At 38.8% G+C, this 20813-nt stretch overlaps 1 protein-coding gene across 12 annotated transcripts in view, besides 2 other annotated features; it reads left to right on the forward strand.

The window, feature by feature from the left end:
• The window catches only part of FUT8 (fucosyltransferase 8), a 387280-nt gene that overhangs the window by 67793 nt on the left and 298674 nt on the right, over positions 1–20813 (forward strand). The window contains exon 2 of one of the 12 annotated variants that reach the window (NM_001371534.1): positions 5582–5675. The exons of 10 other annotated variants lie outside the window; for them this stretch is intronic. The gene's annotated coding sequence lies outside the window, so the exon portion shown is untranslated. Of the gene's footprint in view, positions 1–5581; positions 5676–6687; positions 8498–20813 lie in introns of those variants that run through there. One more of the 12 variants, XM_047431178.1, reaches the window with a different exon arrangement.
• Positions 663–863: a silencer, noted in NCBI's record as "peak2171 fragment used in MPRA reporter construct". NCBI's record gives its function as "represses an SCP1 promoter by STARR-seq MPRAs in K562 erythroleukemia cells {active_cell/tissue: K562}" and the evidence as "EXISTENCE:reporter gene assay evidence [ECO:0000049][PMID:32103011]".
• Positions 1351–1420: an enhancer, noted in NCBI's record as "active region_8564". NCBI's record gives its function as "activates an Ori minimal core promoter by ATAC-STARR-seq in GM12878 lymphoblastoid cells {active_cell/tissue: GM12878}" and the evidence as "EXISTENCE:reporter gene assay evidence [ECO:0000049][PMID:35858748]".

Raw genomic sequence — 20813 nt, forward strand, 5'->3', positions numbered from 1 at the left:
TCAGGTGATTCTCCTACCTCAGCCTCCCGTCTTTTTCTTTTTTTGACCCAGGGTCTCACTCTGTCACTCAGGCTGGAATGTCATGATTCAATCATAGCTCACTGCAACCTCTGCCTTCTGACTCAAGCGATTCTCCCATTTCAGCCTCCCAAGTAGCTGGGACTGCAGGTGCATGCTACCATGCCTGGCTCATTTTTGTGTTTTTTGTAGAGACAGGGTTTTGCCATGTTGCCCTTGTCCAGGGTGGTTTTGAACTCCAGTGCTCATGATCCTCCTGCCTTGACCTCCCAAAGTGCTGGGATTACAGGTGTGAGCCACTGCACATGGCCTACTTTTTTGATATTTCTAGGTTATATGGTTGTCTATGAATATTTTCAAATTGTCACAAACCTCCCCCAAATTTATCAACATATTTATTGAAAAACATTAGCATATGAGTGGACCCTCAAAATTCAAACCTGTGTTGTTCAAGTTTTAAGCCCTGAGAGCTCTAAGAGTTTAAAGCTAAAAACAATTAGAAAAAAAATGGAGTTTCTTTTTTTTTTTTTGAGACGGAGTTTCACTCTTGTTGCCCAGGCTGGAGTGCAATGGCACGAACTCGGCTCACCACAACCTCCACCTCCTGGGTTCAAGCGATTCTCCTGCCTCAGCCTCCCAAGTAGCTGGGATTAAAGGCATGCACCACCACACCCAGCTAATTTTTTTGTATTTTTAGTAGAGACAGGGTTTCTCCATGTTAGTCAGGCTAGTCTAGAACTCACGACCTTAGGTGATCCACCCGCCTCGCCCTCCCAAAGTGCTGGGATTACAGGTATGAGCCACCATGCCTGGCCGTTTTTTTTTTTTTTTTTTTTAAACATGAAATGTTCTTTTTCCCCCTGGTTTTATTGAGGTATAATTGGCAAATAAAAATTGTATATATTTAAGGTGTACAACTTGATGTTTTGGTATATGTGTAGATTGTGAAATGTTTACCACAATCATGCTAATTAACACATCCGTCACCTCACATAGTTATTTTTGTGTGTTTGTGTGGTGAGAACATTTAAAATCTCCTTTCTGGCTGGGAGCAGTGGCTCATGCCTGTAATCCCAACACTTTGGGAGGTTGAGGCAGGCGGATCATGAGGTCAGGAGTTTGAGACCAGCCTGGCCAACATAATGAAACCCCATCTCTATTAAGAATACAAAAAATTAGCTGGGTGTGGTGGCGGGCCCCTGTAATCCTAGGTATTTGGGAGTCTGAGGCAGGAGAATTGCTTGAACCTGAAAGACGGAGGTTGCAGTGAGCTGAGATCACGCCACTGCACTCCAGCCTGGGTGACAGTGCAAGACTCTGTCTCAAAAAAAAAAAAAATCTACTTTCTTAGCACATTTAGTGTGTACAATAAATATTATTAACTGTGGTCACCATGCTGTACGTTAGATCTCTCGAACTTACTCATCCTGAATAACCCTTTGGCCAACATCTCCCCATTTCCTCCTCACCCCAGCCCTTGGCAACCACCATTCTGTTCTCTGCTTCTATGAGTTCACCTTTTTTAGATTCCATATATAAGTAAGATCATGTAGTACGTGTATTTGTCTTTTTCTGCCAGTCCTATTTTACTTAGCCTAATGTCCTTCGGGTTCATCCATGTTATTTGCAGATAACAGTGTAAAGGGGAGGCAAACTTTACCTCCACCTTTTTAAAGTTTTTTTTTTTTTTTTGCTTGGCCTCACAAATTACCATAAGATAGATTATCAGGAGAAAAGCACACAAATTTATTCAATACAAGTTTTATGTGGCACAGGAGCCCTCATAAGGAAACAGACCCAAAGATACAGTTAGAATTGAATACTTACATACTGAATTGGACAAAGGATAATAACTTGTGAAAAATAAACTGGATTATATGGGGAGGCTTAAAGGATAGAAGTTATTTTAACAAAGTCTGTATGGAATTCTCTTTGTCTCCATATCCCGTCCTTGATGATAAAAATGTTGCTTTCCTTTTAGTTTAAGGAGGACATCATTCACATGGGAATTTCATCTGCTTTTAAGAAATAGAAGAAAGGTCAGAGCGCTCTTCTTACACCTGCTGTTTTTCAAGTGCCTTTGACTCAAAATAGTCAATATGTCAGAATGGCGTATTTAAACTCCAACAGGATTGTCTTACTTTTTAAAAGCTGAATATGAATCCTGTGTGTGTGAGCATGCACACACACATGCACACATAACACATTTTCTTTCTTTTTTTTTGAGACGGAGTCTCTCTTTGTCGCCCAGGCTGGAGTGCAGTGGTGTGATCTTGGCTCACTGTAAGCTCTGCCTCCCGGGTTCAGGCCATTCTCTTGCCTCAGCCTCCCTAGTAGCTGGGACTACAGGTGCCCGCTACCATGCCCGGCTAATTTTGTTTTTGTATTTTTAGTAGAAACAGGGTTTCACCATGTTAGCCAGGATGATCTCAATCTCCTGACCTCGTGATCCGCCCGCCTTGGCCTCCTGAAGTGCTGGGATTACAGGCGTGAACCACCGCGCCTGGCCTACATAACACATTTTCTTTACCCGTTTATCCATTGGTGGACGCTTACGTTGACTCCATATCTTAGCTATATGAATAATGCTTTCATGAACATTGGAGTGCAGATACCTCCTTGACATACTGATTTCATTTCCTTTGGATGTATACCCATAAGTGGAATTGGTGGAGCATATGGTAGTTCTATTTTTAATATTTTGAGGAACCTCCACACTGTTCTTTTATAATGGCTGTCTCAATTTACATTCCCACCAACAGTGTACAAGATTCCCTTTTCTCCACATCCTCATCTTTTGTCTTTATGTGAATAGCCATTCTAACAGGCGTGAGGTGATACAGAATTGTGGTTTTGATTTGCATTTTTGTGATGGTTCATCAGTATTTTTTCATATACCAATTGGCCATTTATATGTCTTCTTTTGAGAAATGTCTATTTAGGTCTGTAGCCCATTTTTTAATTGCATTATTTGTTTTCTTGCTATTGAGTTGAGTTCCTTATATACCGAATTCCTTCTTAGTAATTTTAAAAATAGCATTATTAAGGTATAATTTATATACCATAACATTCATAGTTCAAGTTCTAGTAAATTTATATAGTTGTGCAACAATTATCACAATCCAGTTTTAGAAAACTTTCATCTTCCAAAAAACCCATTCTTGTCCATTTGCAGTCACTCCCTGTGCCTATCCCCAGCTCCAGGCAACCACTGATCTGCTTTTTGTCTCCATGGTTTTGCCATTTCTTGATTTTTAATATTAATGGAATCATACAATAGTGTAGTCTTTTGTGTACTCCTCCTTTCATTTAGCATGATTCTGTTTAGTAATGGGAATGAATGGATAAAGTACAAAAGCTTTGAACTTGGAATCAGGAGACTTGGATACTAGTAGTGTGTGCCACCAAATATATAAACATGGTTAACCACTTGTCCCCTCTCGGCCTCTGCTTTTTCTTCCATAAAATGAATTATTTTGACTTTCTTATATCCCACTTTTCACAGCTGGGTAGACATTCACTGACCTTTTCTTAAAAGGTACATTAACTCTTCCTCTTAAATGTAGCCACTGTGTGTGTGTGTGTCTTTTTCTGGATCAAAAAAATGAGGCTTATGTCAGCTATGGTCTGAATGTCTCTTCAGAATTCTTACGTTGAGACCTAACCTTCACTTTGATGGTTTTAAGAGGTGGGGCCTTTGGGAGGTACCTACGTCATGAGCGCAGAGCTCTCAGGAATGGGATTAGTGTCTTTACTATTAAAGAGGCCTGAGGGAGCTTGAACCCCCACTTTCTGCCATCACCAGACACCAAACCTTGATCTTGCACTTCCTAGCCTCCAGAACTGTAAGCAATAAATTTCTGTCATTTATAAGTTACCCAGTCTAAGGTATTTTGTTATAGCACCCCAAACGGACTAAGACATGGTCTAATGGATGATTCAGCAATGAACAAATTTGGAATTGTCTGGAAGAATCAAGATGGGTGATTAAACATTTTCTTGGGCATTTCTTAGTTCACACATACAACTCTGAGGATGGGGATAATCTTAAATGCTGAGTTAATAAAGATTTTTGACGAGAACAAAGCCATAGTTGAATAATTCTGTGAGGTAGAGCTTCAAAAGTGATTGAAACTTGTTATGAAGAGAAGTACAAGACTATATGCTGTTTTAGTTTTTTGTTTTGGGAGTAGAAAGTGGGTTGGAACAATTTCAGTGAAGTTTGTGCCAAGCTGCACTCAAGGTAGTCAAGTGGGGTTAGATAGTTTTTCAAGAAGAACGAAGGAAAGTGCATGACTATCATTGGGAAGGTTGTCCTAGAGGCAAAGCTGACAGGTAACATTCAGGTTATAAACTAGGAAAACAATACATGTATGGGGGATTTAAAAAATAGTGTACATGTGTATATGTGTGTGTTTGTAACAGGAGTAGACAATTGACTGAGTAGGCTGGTGTCAGGTATATGCTAAAAGAGTAATGTTCATTTTCAGTATAGTATAAAAAAAGAGAATTGAATCACAGCTGCCTAAATTTAAAAATCAGTGTTGTAACTGCTTTCAAATAATCAATAATTTGACTTTTAGAAACCTTCAGGGCTTGTTATTTTACCTACAGTAGTAGGAAGTATGGCTATTAAATGATTGAACTTTATTTTTACCCAACATACTAGAGCATATGAGTGATAACCCACAGAGCAGACACTGGAGGAGGGGAATGTAGCTATAAATGTATTTTAATGATGGTGTCATTACAGCGGCGTAAGAAAATTTGTTTCATGTTTTAGAGTCACACTTTTTGTTCAAAAGTAGCATTTCCAATGTAGGTAAACCACTTTTTGATAACAAATATCTCCAAATCAAAACTATGTTTATTTTATGAAGATTTGTCACTCTGACAATATTATAAACATTATATTAAGACTTTAAAGCAGGCCAGGCATGGTGCCTCATGCCTGTAATCACAGCATTTTGGAGGCTGAGATGGGAGGATTGCTTGAGCCCAGGAATTTGAGATCAGCCTGGGCAACATGGTGATACCCCATCTTTACAAATAATTAAAAAATCAGCCGGGTGTGGTGGTGTGTGCCTGTAGGCCCAGCCATTTGTGAGGCTGAGTTGGGAGGATCACTTGAGCACGGGAGGTCAAGGCTGCCGGTAAGCTGAGATTGTACCACTGCGCTCCAGCCTGGATAGTAGAGTGAGACTGTCTCAAAAAAAAAAAAAAAAAAAAAAAAAAGACTTACAAGAGACTTTAAAGCAGCTACAAAAGTTGAATCCCAAAGCTTTTTATGAAATGTCAGTGTCAGCGTTATGGAAATAAATGTAGAACTCTCTGAGGTGACTGTTCTTATTGCAAGAATCTTTTTTTGTTTTTGTTTTTTTTTTTGAGACAGGGTATCACTCTGTTGCCCAGGCTGTAGTGCTGTAGTGCTTTCATGGCTTACTGCAGCCTCGACCCCTGGGGCAGAATCTATCCTCCCAGCTCAGCCTCCTGAGTAGCTGGGACTGTAGACACATACCACCACGCCCAGCTAATTTTTTTTTGTTTTTGATATTTTTTGTAGAGACAGGGTTTCTCTGTGTTGCCCAGGCTGGTCTCGAACTCTGAGCTCAAGCGACCTGCCCACCTCGGCCACCCAAAATGTTGGGATTACAGGGGTAAGCCATTGCACCAGCCAAGAATGTTCTTTTGAAAATGTGTTATGCCATATTTATTTTAAAAGTCCCACTGAATTTTTAATACATATAAAATACTGAAATATGAGTTGTGTAATTGGAAAAATGTCAATGTAAATGAAAAGAGACACTTTTTCTGTTCTGAAGCTTCAAAATATTAAAGATCATCGTTCATATTTTCCTGGGGAATTTTTATTTTTAGTCATAATAGTAAATGAGCAGCCGTCAGAAGATATAGCCATTTCTAGGTTTAGAATTCCTTTTCTTTATATAGTTCTCTTGAATACTTGTCTTTAAGAAAATAGACATTAAGGATTTCTTGTGTAATCAAATACTACTTTGATATTTGTACAGAGCATGAGAGCAAGACTAGAACCACATTAAAGCAGGAAGAATAATTAAAAGTTTTGTAACATAGCAAAGAATAGATGGGGTAATTTACAATGGAAAAGTAGACGTACAGAACATCATTAGATGGGATATAGAAAGCTCTCTTTAAAAAAGGGATATCAGATCAAATAGACTGAAGAATTTGTATCCTACAAGTTAAGTAAAAAATGAGATGAGCAATTAATGAGAAAATGTGCTCTAAAATACTTGGTTGCATTGATTGGCAATTCTTTTCCACTTCCTATAGGGGCTATTTCAGACCTTTTCTACTAATTTTTTTTTTTTTTTTTTTTTTGAGACAGAGTTTCACTCTTGCTGCCCAGGCTGGAGTGCAGTGGCGCGATCTCGGCTCACTGCAACCTCCTGCTCCCGGGTTCAAATGATTCTCCTGCCTCAGCCTCCGGAGTAGCTGGGATTACAGGCATGCGCCACTATACCCGGCTAATTTTTTTTTTTTTTTTTAAAGTAGAGACAAGGTTTCTCCATGTTGGTCAGGCTGGTCTCAAACTCCCAACCTCAGGTGATCCACCCTCCTCGGCCTCCCAAAGTGTGGGATTACAGGTGTGAGCCACTGCGCCGGCCTTTTTTTTTTTTTTTTTTTTCTCTCAAATGAGACAGGGTCATGCTCTGTTGCCCAGACTAAGGGGAGTGGCGCAATCCCAGCTCACTGCAGCCTCAACCTCCTGGGCTCAGGTGATCCTCCTGCCTTAGCCTCTGGAGTAGCTGGGACTACAGGCATGCGTCACCATACCCGGCTTTTTTTTGGTATTTTTTTTGTAGAGGCTGGGTTTTGCCACATTGCCTGGGCTGGTCTTGAACACCTGGCCTCAAGTGATTTGCCTGCCTCAGCCTCTTAAAGTGTTGGGATTACAGGCGTGAGCCACCACTCTACTTCTTCCTAGGGCCTGATTCCAGTGTACTGCTCTTAGACTTTGTAGGTTCACTTTTTTTTTTTTTTTAATGTAAGATCAAGACTATCCAACAGAAGCTTCTTCAGCTTTGCTTTTCTCTCTCTCTAAATTGTGTAAGTTCTGTCTCCCATTTGGTGTCAGGGATATGCAATATGCCCTTTAGGTTTTCATGGCTACCTCTTTTATCCCTTCTACTGTTAGAATGTATAGGATCATTAATTAACTCTTTTATCATTTTTATTTTAATCTTCCCTAGCAACAATTTAATGGCTTAAACAAAAACCTTTCCTTATTATTATTATTTTTAAATACTGTGCAACAGGCCAAAGGAAAAAAAACAATTTATGTCTGTTGTTTCAATTTGGTTACCTTATTTTTTACTAAAACTGTTCTTTCTGTTGTTACCAGTGACCTTCTGAATTGCCAAATGGGGATTCTTCAGTCTTGTTGCTTCAGATTTAACACTGTGAACCACTTTTCCTCCTCCCTTCTCCTTATAACTTTGCTGTCCTCTTGGCTCATTTACAAAGTCAACTTGTTTCTCAAGTATTTGCCTTACATGTTTTTCATTCTCTAGATTCTTTTTCTTGAAATGTTACCTATTCTTTTGGCTTTAGTGAGAATCTCTTCCAGGTGACCCCTATACTGTAAGTTCCTGAACGTCAGTTTCCAGCTGGAGATTGTCATCTAATTGTCATGCTGTCATGCTTAACCCACTCAAATTTGAATTTTCTTTTCTTTTAAAATGTATTTTTTCTACTTTCCTTTTTTTTTTTTTTAAATTATTGGCTTTTCCTTCCCATTATCCAAACTTGAATTGTGAATCATCTTTGTATTCCCCGTCAGATTCATTCGCTTGTCAAACTATCAGAGGCCTGTGAACCAGAGCAATTGCATCTTAAACAGGAGTTGGGTAAAATGAGGCTAAAACCTACTGGGCTGCATTCCCAGACAGTTAAGACATTCTAAGTCACAGGATGAGATAGGAGGTCGGCACAAAATACAGGTCATAAAGACCTTGCTAATAAAACAGGTTGCAGTTAAGGAGCCAGCCAAAACCCACCAAAACCAAAATGGCAATGAGAGTGACCTCTGGTCATCCTCACTACTACACTTCCATTAGCACCGCTCTATGACAGCTTACAAATGCCATGGCAATGTCAGGAAGTTACCCTGTATGGTCTAAAAATGGGAGACATAAATAATCCACCCCTTATTTACCGTATCATCAAGAAATAGCCATAAAAATAGGCAACCAACAGCCCCCGAGACTGCTCTGCCCATGGAGTAGCCATTCTTTTATGCCTTTACTTTAATAAACTTGCTTTCACTTTGCACTGTGGACTCGCCCTGAATTCTTTCTTGTGTGAAATCCAAAAACCCTCTCTTGGGATCTGGATTAGGACCCCTTTCCTGTAACATGTTTCTCTGTCCTGTAACCTATTTCTGGCAACCACAGAAGAGACTATAGTGCAGAAACCCTGACCCAACGGCTACCTTTGGGTAAGTGTTGGGATCCTGTAACAAAACTGCGAATTCTATCACTACAGTGTTTATCTCATTCATCTGCTTTTTTCTGTTTCATTTTTTTTTGATAACAGTTTAGGTTCTCATTACCACTAACATATAAATATATAATTATAATTCAGTAATTGCTATGATGAAGGGTGAGGTGGCAGAGGAAGTTCTAGTAGGATATGGTACATAGTGATGATTAGCTTAGCATCAAAAACAAGTAGGGGCATTCCAGGAAGACAAACTGAAGAAAGGCTTATTAGGAGTGTGCTATGTGTTTGTTGTCAACTTGTGAGACTTCTTCTTTAATCCTTACTGCAGTTGTGTGCTTTTCGTATTTGCATATGCTATTGCCTTTCTTCAGATATTGATTAAAATTTGTGAAAGAGCATGCAATGGCAGAATGACACAAAGTAACATATATCTTTATTACCTAGCTTTAAGTGAGTAGAGTGGTAAAATGTAAGGTAATGAAAAGTGAGTACTGCCTGCACTGAAGATTTAAAACCTGATATAATTTGCATTAAAAGCTGTCTTGAAGGTTTTTCACTATTTGTAATGTAAATCTTCACTAGGCAGCTGTTCTCAGTCTACTGTTGTTATATGTGGCTTTATCTTTTATTTCTACCTCTCTTCTGTCTCTTCTCTCTCTCTCTCTCTCTCTCTCTCTCTCTCGCTGTGTTGCCCAGGTTGGAACACAGTGGCTATTCACAGATGTGATCATAGAGCACTGCAACCTGAAACTCCTGGCCTCAAGCCGTCCTCCTGCTTCAGCCTCCTCAGTAGCTAGGGCTAAAAATGTGTGCCACCAGGCTCAGCTATTTCTACCTCTTTCAAATGTGTGTGATTGCCCTACAGTGGGGTTGGGTAATATCTTGATATTAGTAGCCACTAATACTGAAAATAACTGAAGGCCACAGCAAGTAAAGAGAGAATTTACTATTTTTGTTTCCTTAGAGAAGCCAAATATTTTGTGATTTTAAAATGGGAAGCATTAAAAACAACAATTCTAAAATGCCTTATACAGAAAGGTGATTTATTGGCTATGTAAATAGGAAGAATAGAGATGGAGAAGTCCAGGAACAACCAGATCCAGGAACTTAGATGCTGTCTTCAGAGTATTCTAGCTTCATTTTATTTTTTCTCCTGTTGGCCTCATTTTCTGCTTATGTTAGAAAGCTTCTTTCATGGCAAGGATGCATGGCCTCAGACAGCTGAGAACTTAGTTCCCTAGGATGGCCTCTGACAGGCTTATCTCTGGGCTAATCACTGTGGGGAATTGTCGTTGACATTAACATCAGAACCACACAAATCGGGGGTAGTGTCAGTTCCCCAGAGGATAGATGTTGTTAACCAGAGAAATAGGGAAAAGGAATTTGAAGTAGCAAAAACAATGTAAAGCCATTTCAGAGGCAGAAGAAAGAAAAGGCAATAGTAGACACAGTGAAAGAGAAATACTTACATAGGAGAGAGAAGCAGGGAAAGGGAAGGGAACTAGAATTTAAGAATTCAAAACTAAGAATTTACTGTGTGGTAAGCCTGTGTTAAGCGTTTTACATTTTATCTTTACAGCTCAGTGGAGGCAGCTGTATTATCTCCAGAGGATAACCATTTGTAGATCTGGTAGTGAAAAGCCCCCCCACCTTTTTTTTCTTTTATCCCAATTTGGCATATTTCCTTTATTTTTTATACAACTTTTTTCATTTTTAAATTATGCATTAATACATTAAAATCCACACTGCGATACACAGTTCTATGGATTTTGGCAAATGCATATAATATGTATCTACCCTCATAATCAAGACACAGAACTCCTGCTGCCCATTTGTAGTTAACCTCTCCCCCTAAGTTCATCGCCCTGGAAAACACTGATCTATTCTCTATGGCTACCATTTTACTTTTCCGAATGTCATACACAGTTGTCACTCCTTATCTGAGGGAAATTAGTTCCAAAACCCCTTCAGATACTAAAATTCACAGATGCTCAGGTCCCTTATGTAAAATGACCTAGTGTTTACATATACACACACATCCTCCTGGTACTCCAGTCATCGCTAAATATAATATACAATGTAAATACTATATACATCGTTGTTATGTTGTTTATATGTATTATTTTTGTTGTATTTTTTTTACTATAATATTTTCTATCCATATTGGTTGAATTCTCAGATATGGAACTAGTGGATATGGAGGGCCAACTGTAAGTGACATTGTAGTTATATAGACTTTTGGATCAGCCTCTTTTACTTAGAAAATTCATTGAGATTCATTTATGTTGCGTGTATCAATAGTTCGTTCCTTTACATTGCTGAGTAGTAATCTGTGGTATGAATGTACCATGGTTAGTTTATCCATTTGTCTGTTGAAAGACGTTTAGCTTATTGCTGGTTTTTGGCAATTATGAATAAAACTGCTATAGACATTCATGTATAGCTTTGTGTGTGATCATAAGTTTTCATTTCACTTGGGTAAATACCTAGGAGCAGATTGCTGGATGATATGGTAAGCATATGTGTAATTTTGTATGAAACTGCCAAATTGTTTTCCAAAGTGGTTGTACCATTTTGCATTTCCACCAACGATGTTTGAGAGTTCCAGTTGCTCTACATCCTTACTAGCACTTGGTAGTATCTGTTCCTTTTTCTTTCTTTTTTTTTTTTTTAATTTTAGCTCTTATAATAGGTGTATAGTTGTATATCATGTGGTTTTAGTTTGCATTTTCTTACAATTGACTTTTGGTGTATTTTTATTTTCGTGTGCTTTAAGATATCTTCCCTTTTTTTTTTTTTTTTTTCTTTAAAAGACAGAGTCTTGCCGTGTTACCCAGACTGGAGTGCAGTGGTGTGATCATCACTCACTGTAGCCTCAGACGACTCTGAACTCAAGCAGTTCTTCTACCTCAGTCTCCCGAGAAGCTGGGACCACAGGTGTGTGCCACCATGTCTGGCTAGTTTTTAATTTTTTTGTAGAGACAAGGTCTCACTGTGTTGCCCAGGCTGTAAAATATCTTTCTTGAGCTGGTCCTGATGGCACAAGTGTGTAATCCCAGCTACTCAGGAGGCTGAGGCAGGAGAATCGCTTGAGCCCAGAAGTTTGAGATCACCCTGGGCAACATAGCAAGACCCTGTCTCAAAACAACAACAACAAAAACTTTTCTTTAACATTCCGAGAATGCTTATTGGCTTTAAAAAACAATGATAGTGGCCAGGCACAGTGGCTCACACGTGTAATCCCAGCACTTTGGGAGGCTGAGGCAGGCAGATCACGAGGTCAGGAGATCGAGACCATCCTGGCTAACATGGTGAAACCCTGTCTCTACTAAAAATACAAAAAATTAGCCAGGTGTGGTGGTGGGCGCCTGTAGTCCAGCTACTGGGGAGGCTGAGGCAGGAGAATGGTGTGAACCTGGGAGGTGGAGCTGGCAGTGAGCCAAGATCGTGCCACTGCACTCCAGCCTGGGCGACAGAGCGAGACTCCCTCTCAAAAAAAAAAAAAAAAAAGTTTTTTTCCAAAATAGAATAGTAAATGGCCCTGACAAGGTCTTTGACAAGCATTGGGGTTGCACACTCAACTGTATCACACAATTCCAGGGGACATCATTCACATAAAATTTTTTTTTCTTTTTTCCTACTGGAGTTGTGCAGTGTAGCAGTCTGGGCTATATATTTACAGTTATTATCTAGGATTATCAGTGATTAGGTTCCATGGAAAATTTGAGTACTACCAAATGATGCATTTAAAAAGCATTTTTCAATGTTTCTCTGAAATGAAATTTTTGTCCAGGAGCTAGTTCTGAAGAAATGCCCTACAGGCAGTATGTCTAATGGATCAGACCTGGGAGACATAAAGGCCTATTTCAGGTACTCAACTCTGCCATTTACTGCATGAGTGACCTTGGGCATCTTGTCTAGCTTCTTTGAGTTCATTCTTTATCAGCAAAACAGGATTGATAATCTCTCCTTTTTATAGATGTGACAAGAATTATAAATAATGCATGTAAAATATCTGATGTAGAGCAGACCTCTTCAAGTTGCAACTGCTTTTACTTCTGTTTATTAGCACTTAGTACTGATTAGCCACAGCTTTTTATCAAACAAAAGCTTAGGGTATCAGCAAAGCAGAAAGAAAAGAATTTGAAAAACAATTGAAAGCATTTACTACCTAACATTTAAAAAAATACTGAAGTAGAATTAGGAAAGAAATAAGAATTTATTGGATTAAATGTTAGCTGTTTAGTATTGTTTTTATTTTGTATTTAATAGGGAGAGAATAGAGGGCTATACTATTATATTTTCTGTACTTGGGACCTCCAAAGGTCTTAATTTGGTCTTATCACCACTAACACCACCACTGCCATCTCCATGTCATGCTTGTGTTAAAGAAAGACTTTGAAATACGTCACCTAATGTTTAGGGTCGTAGAAATGCAATTTACTGTTTTGGGACTAGAGTACATGAATTCATATTACTTGACATCATTAGTTCTTCCCAGTAAAATGAGAATATTTGAGGTCCCAGAGTATTTTATAAGGTTTTAAAAACTTCATAATTTCTTAATGTTTTTTTGTTATTACCCATAGTGATTACAATAAAATCCTTAAAACAGCAAGGAAGGAGAACCAAGGAGATTAGATGTGCTTTATGGATGCAAGGAGAGAGGTTTAGCAAGCAATGGAGTAGGGAGTAAAGAAGAGGAGTTTAGCCTGAGTTTCTGGATCTAGGAAGTAATGTAGAAGTCTTAACTGTAGAAGAGTCTTTATAGTGATAGTGATTTTTTTTCTTTGATTTTAAATTATTTCTGCTTTGGTGTTTTCTGTTTGTTGGACATGTTGGTTTCATACCTCTGTATAGTAAAGAGGTTTTAAAACTTTGACCCAAACTATTTTGGCTCACACTTTTACTTCTCATATGGGCTTTTATAATAATATGGAGAGAGGGGATAAGAAGTTGTCTAAAGTAAAATCAAAAGTTGTTTGTCCATTTCCTCTCTCAAGTAAGAATATATCAAGAATATTTCAGTCTAGCCATTTTGTAGCTTGAGATTAGAGAAGGAAAGTTTACATTCACATGTTACCTTCATCTGCCTTTCTTGTCTTTGACCTGTTACAACAGAAATTAGGCAGTTTTTTTTTTCCCCTCACATATTCATTCTCTGCTTCTCTCAAGTTAATGAAACCTAGATAGAGGGCCCAATTGCCACTTGCTGAAAGAACAAATTTCTGAAGTTCTCTTGTAGCAAGTTACTACCTTGTGACTAAATTCTGGTCAGTTAGATGTCAGTAGAAGTATTTGGTATTTCCCAGAAGTCTATTTAAAGGAAGAGCTTTACCATTCTTTATCATTTTTTCCAGCTGCCAACTTAGATCATGAGGATAGGGGCTATACTTGTAAGGATGGTAGAATGGAGAGCTGGAAAGACCCTGTATATTTATGTCATGGTAGAGCAGCTCTGGAGTATTATCAGATTATTTTATGTGAGAGAGAAATAAACTTCTGTTTTGTTTATGCCATAGTTATTTTGGATTTTCTTATTATGCATTGCTGAACCCACGATCCTTCACACCTCCATCTAAGGCATCTTCCCTTCTGCTTCCTGTTCTGTGGTTGAACTCTTGGTGCTGTTTCATCTCTCCACTGCTAAGTCCCTGAATTCTCTTGCTCTCCACATTTTCTATAATGATTGTTCACAGGCACAGTGTTGCAGTTAGAAGCTGCTATGCATTGCTAGTTATGTAGCACCTGAAATTTTAATTTTTTAAAAAGAAACTTTAACAGGAATATGAAGGAATGTGTAAGCACAGTTACACATATTTTATTTCCTAATGAAAAATATAATTTCTAAAGAACGATGTGTCCATTAAGTCTCCCCTGCCCTCCAATTTTAGTTGATACAGATTGGTTTGGCTAATTGGCTGCCAGCAGTTCCTCTAGAGAATATGTCTAGATCACTAACAGACCCCTTTTTACTTGCCTCTTTTGGAAAACTCATCCTATCCCTACCCTAGTAACATGATCCAAATGGAAGCTTGTTACTGTCACAGTTATTGGTTCAAGGATGGATATGTAAGCAAAAATACCAGCTCTGTCCTGGGTTTTTAGAACTGCATCTAGCAGAAAGGAGATCCTCTCTACTTTTGAGGCTATAAGGATGTGGACAAACTGGTTTAGGAGGATCATAGTAATAATACTCAGAACAGAAGTAGAGATGGAGGGAAACAAGTCAGTCTTCCTCAGAGAATGGACATGTACCTCATATAGGCTAATTAGAATATTTTGTTTAGTAACTTGATAATTTCAAGTCAGACTCTGTTGGGCACTTGAACTGGAGGGTCATGTGAAGGACAGAAGTTTCTTTAAAGCCATACTCCTAAATGTAAATAAATATATTTAAAAAATTTTAAAGGGTGATAGAAACTATTTCCTTTCTTACTTTGAAGGGGGTTCCTAGCTGGTACATAATTCATACTGTCTCAGTTATTCAAACAAATTACTCATTTAATAAAGCATTTCATGGAGAGGAAAAGAAACTACAAGTTTTTTCTCTATGGATGTGGAGTACTTTTAAAGGAAAATAAATGCTCCCTTAAACACCAATAGCAACAATAAAATATGCACAAAAGCCTCCTAGTGTTGAGAAACCATCACGTAAGTGCTGAGCACTCTAGTTCTGCTCGTGGATCTCTTTACAAATAGAAAATTATCTTATCTCTTATGTTTGTTAAAGCATTATTTGCCATAGCTAAGATATAGAATCAACCTAAGTGTTCATCAACACATGAATGGATAAAGAAAATGTGTGTGTGTGTGTGTATATATATATATATATATATATATATATATATATATGTACACACACACAGTGGAATACTGTTCAGCTTTTCAGGAGAAGGAAGTCTTGATATTTATAAGAACATGGAAGAACTTGGAGGACATTATGCTAAGTGAAATAAGCCAGACACAGAAAGACAAATACTGCGTGGTCTCACTTATATGTAGAATCTAACAAAGTTAGACTCATAGAAGCAGAGAATATAATGGTGATTACCAGGAGCTGTCAGCTGGGGAGAAATGGGGAGATGTGGTTAAAGTGTACAAAGTTTCAGGTATTTAGAGGAATAAATTCTGGAGATCCAGTGTACAGCATGGTTGACTGTAGTTAATAATAAAGTGTTGTATACTTGAAAATTGCTTAGAAAGTAGTTTTTTTTTTTTTTAAATTGAAATGGGATCTCACTGTGTTGCCCAGGCTTATCTAGAATTCCTGGGCACAAGCAATCTTCCTGCCTCAGCCTACTTAGTAGCTGGGATTACAGACATATGCCACCATGCCCAGCTAGAGAGTAGATTTTAAGTGTCCTTACTATTAAAACAAAAAAAGCTTGGATATATGAGATAATAGGTATGTTAATTAGCTTGATTTAATCATTCCACAGCGTACACATATATGAAAACATCCAGTTGTACACAATACATATGTGTAACTTCTATTTGCCAATTAAAATGAAGTTTAAACATTGTATCCATCTGGAGTTCCTCTTGTGGGAAAATGACTTCTTTGGCCACCTAAGGTCTTTTTTTTTAAACTCTTAAATTTGAGACATCTATAGTTGGTATAATTGGTAAGTCACAAGTATTAGTGAGAATTTTATTTGGGTCCATGAAGAACCAATACAGGCAATAAAACACACCAAGAATTAGGGAAAAGCTAAAGCATAGTCCAATTATCTCAATTATTGTAAATGAGAAGTACCCTTCACCTAAATGAGGCTGAGTAGAAACTTCCTTACCTCTGCAACAATTTATAACTGTGGAATTAGAATTTAGATTCAAGCTAGCAAAACTAGAGCTACATTTTATACTCAAAACTATGTCTGCCACTTAAAAGAGGAAAAAAAAGAATGAATATAAGCTGGTTATATTGAAGTATATTTTACACAGATTTTTTTTAGTAGTTAATTTCTTATTTAGATAACTAGGAAGGGTAAGTGGAAAGATACATATGTTTTTAAAGAGGGGCAGGTAACTTTTAATTTTCTTTGTAACTTTCAGAATTTCTTTCCCTACTTGATATATGGAGACCTACTGTAGAGGATGTTTGTGGAGTTAGAAGAGATTAGGGTTGTTGAAATACAGATGTCAGTTTAATTGTAATTCATAGTATTGAACCTTAGAATAGTGACCATTTTCTGTTTTCACAAATTTTAGAAAAGTATACATATATGTTGATAATTATTAAAAAATTTGAACCAAGCTTTCGTTCACAGTGAGATTTGTTTAGTAGGTAAATTATTTTATGTTTAAAAATGAGTACAGGTCTGGGCATGGTAGTTTACACCTTTAATCCCAGCACTTTGGGAGGCCAAGGCAGGTTAATCACCTGAGGTTGGGAGTTCAAGACCAGCCTGGCCACCATGGTGAAACCCCATCTCTACTAAAAACACACACACAAAAAAAAAAATTAGCCGGGTGTGGTGGCACATGCCTGTAATCCCAGCTACTTGGGAGGCTGAAGCATAAGAATTGCCTGAATCCGGGAGGCAGAGGTTGCAGTAAGCTGAGATCGTGCCACTGTACTCCAGCCTGGTGACAGAGTGAGATTCCATCTCAAAAAAAAAAAAAAAAAAAAAAAAAAATCAGTTTGTATTTACTCAGATTTTTTTTTTTTAATTATACTTTAAGTTCTAGGGTACATGTGCACAACGCGCAGGTTTGTTACATATGTATACATGTGCCATGTTGGTGTGCTACACTCATTAACTTGTCATTTACATTAGGTATATCTCCTAATGCTATCCCTCCTCCTCCCACAACCCCACGACAGGCCCCGGTGTGTGATGTTCCCCACCCTGGGTCCAGTTGTTCTCATTGTTCAGTTCCCACCTATGTTTACTCAGATTTAATGGGATTTTATCTGGGTTTTCAAAGGGCTCCCAGATTTAATCTGGGTTTTCAGAGGGCTCCCTAGATAATTCTTAGATGCATCCAGATTGAGAAGCATGAATCCAGAGCAAAACAGAAACAGCTAAGGGTGGACTTTTTTTTTTTTTTTGAGGCTGAGTCTTGCTCTGTTGCCAGGCTGGAGTGCAGTGGCGCGATCTCGGCTCACTGCAGTCTCCACCTTCCGGGTTCAAGTGATTCTCCTGCCTCAGCCTCCTGAGTAGCTGGGATTACAAGCATGTGCCACCACACCCAGCCAATTTTTGTATTTTGTATTTTTAGTAGAGACATGTCGGCCAGGATGGTCTCAATCTCCTGACCTCATGATCCGCCTGCTTCAGCCTCCCAAAGTGCTGGGATTACAGGAGTGAGCCACCACGCCTGGCCAAGGGTGGACATTTGAGGGCACAAACATTTGAGGTACTGACCATCATAAATACATACATACATACATACATACATACAGTATAGGCCCGCTGTGGTGGCTCGCACCTGTAATCCCAACACTTGGGGAGGCCGAGGCAGGTGGATTACTTGAGCTTAGGAGTTTAAGACCAGCCTGGGCAGCATGGTGAAATTCTGTCTTTACCAAAAATACAAAAAATTAGCTGGGCATGGTGGTACTTGCCTGTGATCCCAGCTACTTGGGACGCTGAGATGAGAGGATTGCTTGAGCCCAGGAGGCAGAGTTTGCAGTGAGCCAAGTTGGGCCTGGGTGACAGAGTGAGACCCCATCTCATTAAAAAAAAAAAAAAAATTAAGAATACAGTATAGAGGGGCATCCTACAAGGAAACCTTACTCATGCACCATAAAAGTGGTCATCAGAAACAGGGAAATCTATAAAACTGTCACAGACAGGAGGAACTTAAAACTATGGGCTTTAGTTAATATATCAATATTCATTAAGTATAGAAAATGTACCATACTAATATAAGATGTTAATAATAGGGAAAACCGGATAGAGGAGTAGTATATGGAAACTTACTGTATTATCTTCAGAATGTTTCTGCAAACCTGAAACTGTTCTAAAAAATGAAGAGTTTTGGGGTGGGTGTGGTGGCTCACGCCTGTAATCCCAGCACTTTGGGAGGCTGAGATGGGTGGATCACGAGGTTAGGAGATCAAGACCATCCTGGCTAACGCGGTGAAACCCTGTCTCTACTAAAAATACAAAAAATTAGCCGGGCATGGTGGTGCTCACCTGTGGTCCCAGCTACTTGGGAGGCTGAGGCAGGAGAATGTTGTGAACCCTGGAGGTGGAGCTTGCAGTGAGCCGAGACTGCGCCACTGCACTCCAGCCTGGGCAACAGAGCGAGACTCCATCTCAAAAAAAAAAAAAGAGTTTTGAAAATCAAGGCTGGGTGCAGTGGCTCACACCTATGATCCCGCACTTTGGGAGGCTGAGGCAGGAGGATTACTTGAGGCCAGGAGTTTGAGACCAGCCTGGGCAACATAGCAAGATCCCATCTCTACAGAAAATTTAAAAATTAGCTGGGTGTGGTGGTGTGCGCTTGTGGTCCCAGCTACTTGGGAAACTAAAGCAAGAAGACTGCTTGAGCCCAGGAGGTTGAGGCTGCAGTGAGTCATGATTGTGCCACTGCTCTCCAGCCTAGGCAACAGAGCAGGACCTCTAATAAAAAAAAAAAAAAAGACACCCCAAAAAGTAGTTGATTTTCAAAAATCATGAGTAATATAAACTCCTTGAGTTCAGAGTCATTTGACTTAATATTGGTATGCTTAGGGTTTAGCAGAGTTAATACAAAATAAGCTTTAAAGAAGTGCTAAGTGACAATGTTACATTTATGTTATTTTGTAGAAATGGCTTTTGGAAAGATGAGAAGTAACTTGACAAGCTTTTTAATGTTTTCAATAAGTTTTTACTAAAAGTTTATAAAAAATTTTAATTTAGTAAAACAAATTGAAAATATTTGCATAAACTTTCTCTTATTGCTTGAGAGGCCACTTTGAAACTCTTAATGTTGCACATGGTTCTGAAAAGACATCAAGCTTAGTTTAGTTTATAAAAGCATTTCATTAACAGAGTGGGTGCTAAATAGTAAACATAGTTCTTTGACAAGTAGAGTTAAATGTAATATTTCTTTTAAAAAACTGAGTACATAAACCTATTTATCCAGTAGGAAATGCAAGTAGAAATCACGAGATACCATTACTTACCTATTAGAAAAGCAAAACAAAAACAAACCAACAAACCTAGACAATAGCAAGCTGACAGAGATACAGAGCAACTAGAACTCTCCTGCCCTGCAGATGGAAATACAAAAAAGTATACAGCTACTTCAGAGAACAATTTGGTGGTTTCTTATAAAGTTACCATATGAGCTGGCAGTCCCACTTCTAAGTATTTACCCAAGGAAATGAAACATGTTCCTGCAAAAACCAGTAATGCTCTGTTCATAATTGCCCAAAACTGGAAACAACCCAAATGGTAATGTACATATAGACAAATATTAATGTGTGAATGGACAAACTATGGTACATCATACAATGGATGATGTACCAATTATAAAAAGGAATGAACTGTTGATACGTGTGTTGTAGCAATTTGGAGGAATCTCGAAGACATTATACTTTTTTAAAAAAGCTAGTCTCCTGATTCCATTTACATGATATTTTCAAAAAAATAAAACTGTAGTGGTAGAGAATGTGTACTGGTTATCCAGTGCTATGGTTTGAATGTTTTTGTCCCCTCTGAAAATTCATGTTGAAACTTAATCACCAATGCAACAGTGTTGGGAGGGGGGCCCAATGGAAGGTGTATGTATTGGTTCATATGGGGGAGCCCTCACAAATGGATTAATGTTGTTATAAAAAGGGCTTGCGGCCGGGCATGGTGGCTCACGCCTGTAATCCCAGCACTTTGAGAGGCCGAGGCGGGTGGATCATGAGGTCAGGAGTTCAAGATCAACCAGGCCAAGATGGTGAAACCCTGTCTGTACTAAAAATACAAAAAAAATTAGATGGGCGTGGTGGTGAGCGCTTGTAATCCCAGCTACTCGGGAGGCTGAGGCAGAGAATTGCCTAAACCTGCGAGGCAGAGGATGCAGTGAGCCGAGATCACGCCACTGCACTACAGCCTGGGAGACAGAGCGAAACTCTGTCTCATAAATAAATAAAAGGATAAAAAGGGCTTGCTCTCTTCTGCTTTTCTGCCATGTGAGGATGTAACATTTGTCTCATTTTGTCCTCCACCTTTCACCATGAGTGTTTACAGCCAGAAAGATCCTCACCAGATGCTGGCGCCTTGATCTTGGACTTACCAGCCTCCAGAGCTGTGAGAAACAAATTTCTGTTGTTTATAAATTACCCTCTCTCAGGTATTCTGTTATGGCAGCACAAAATGGAC

Source organism: Homo sapiens, chromosome 14 (genome assembly GCF_000001405.40).
Source record: "Homo sapiens chromosome 14, GRCh38.p14 Primary Assembly".
NCBI lineage: Eukaryota > Metazoa > Chordata > Mammalia > Primates > Hominidae > Homo > Homo sapiens.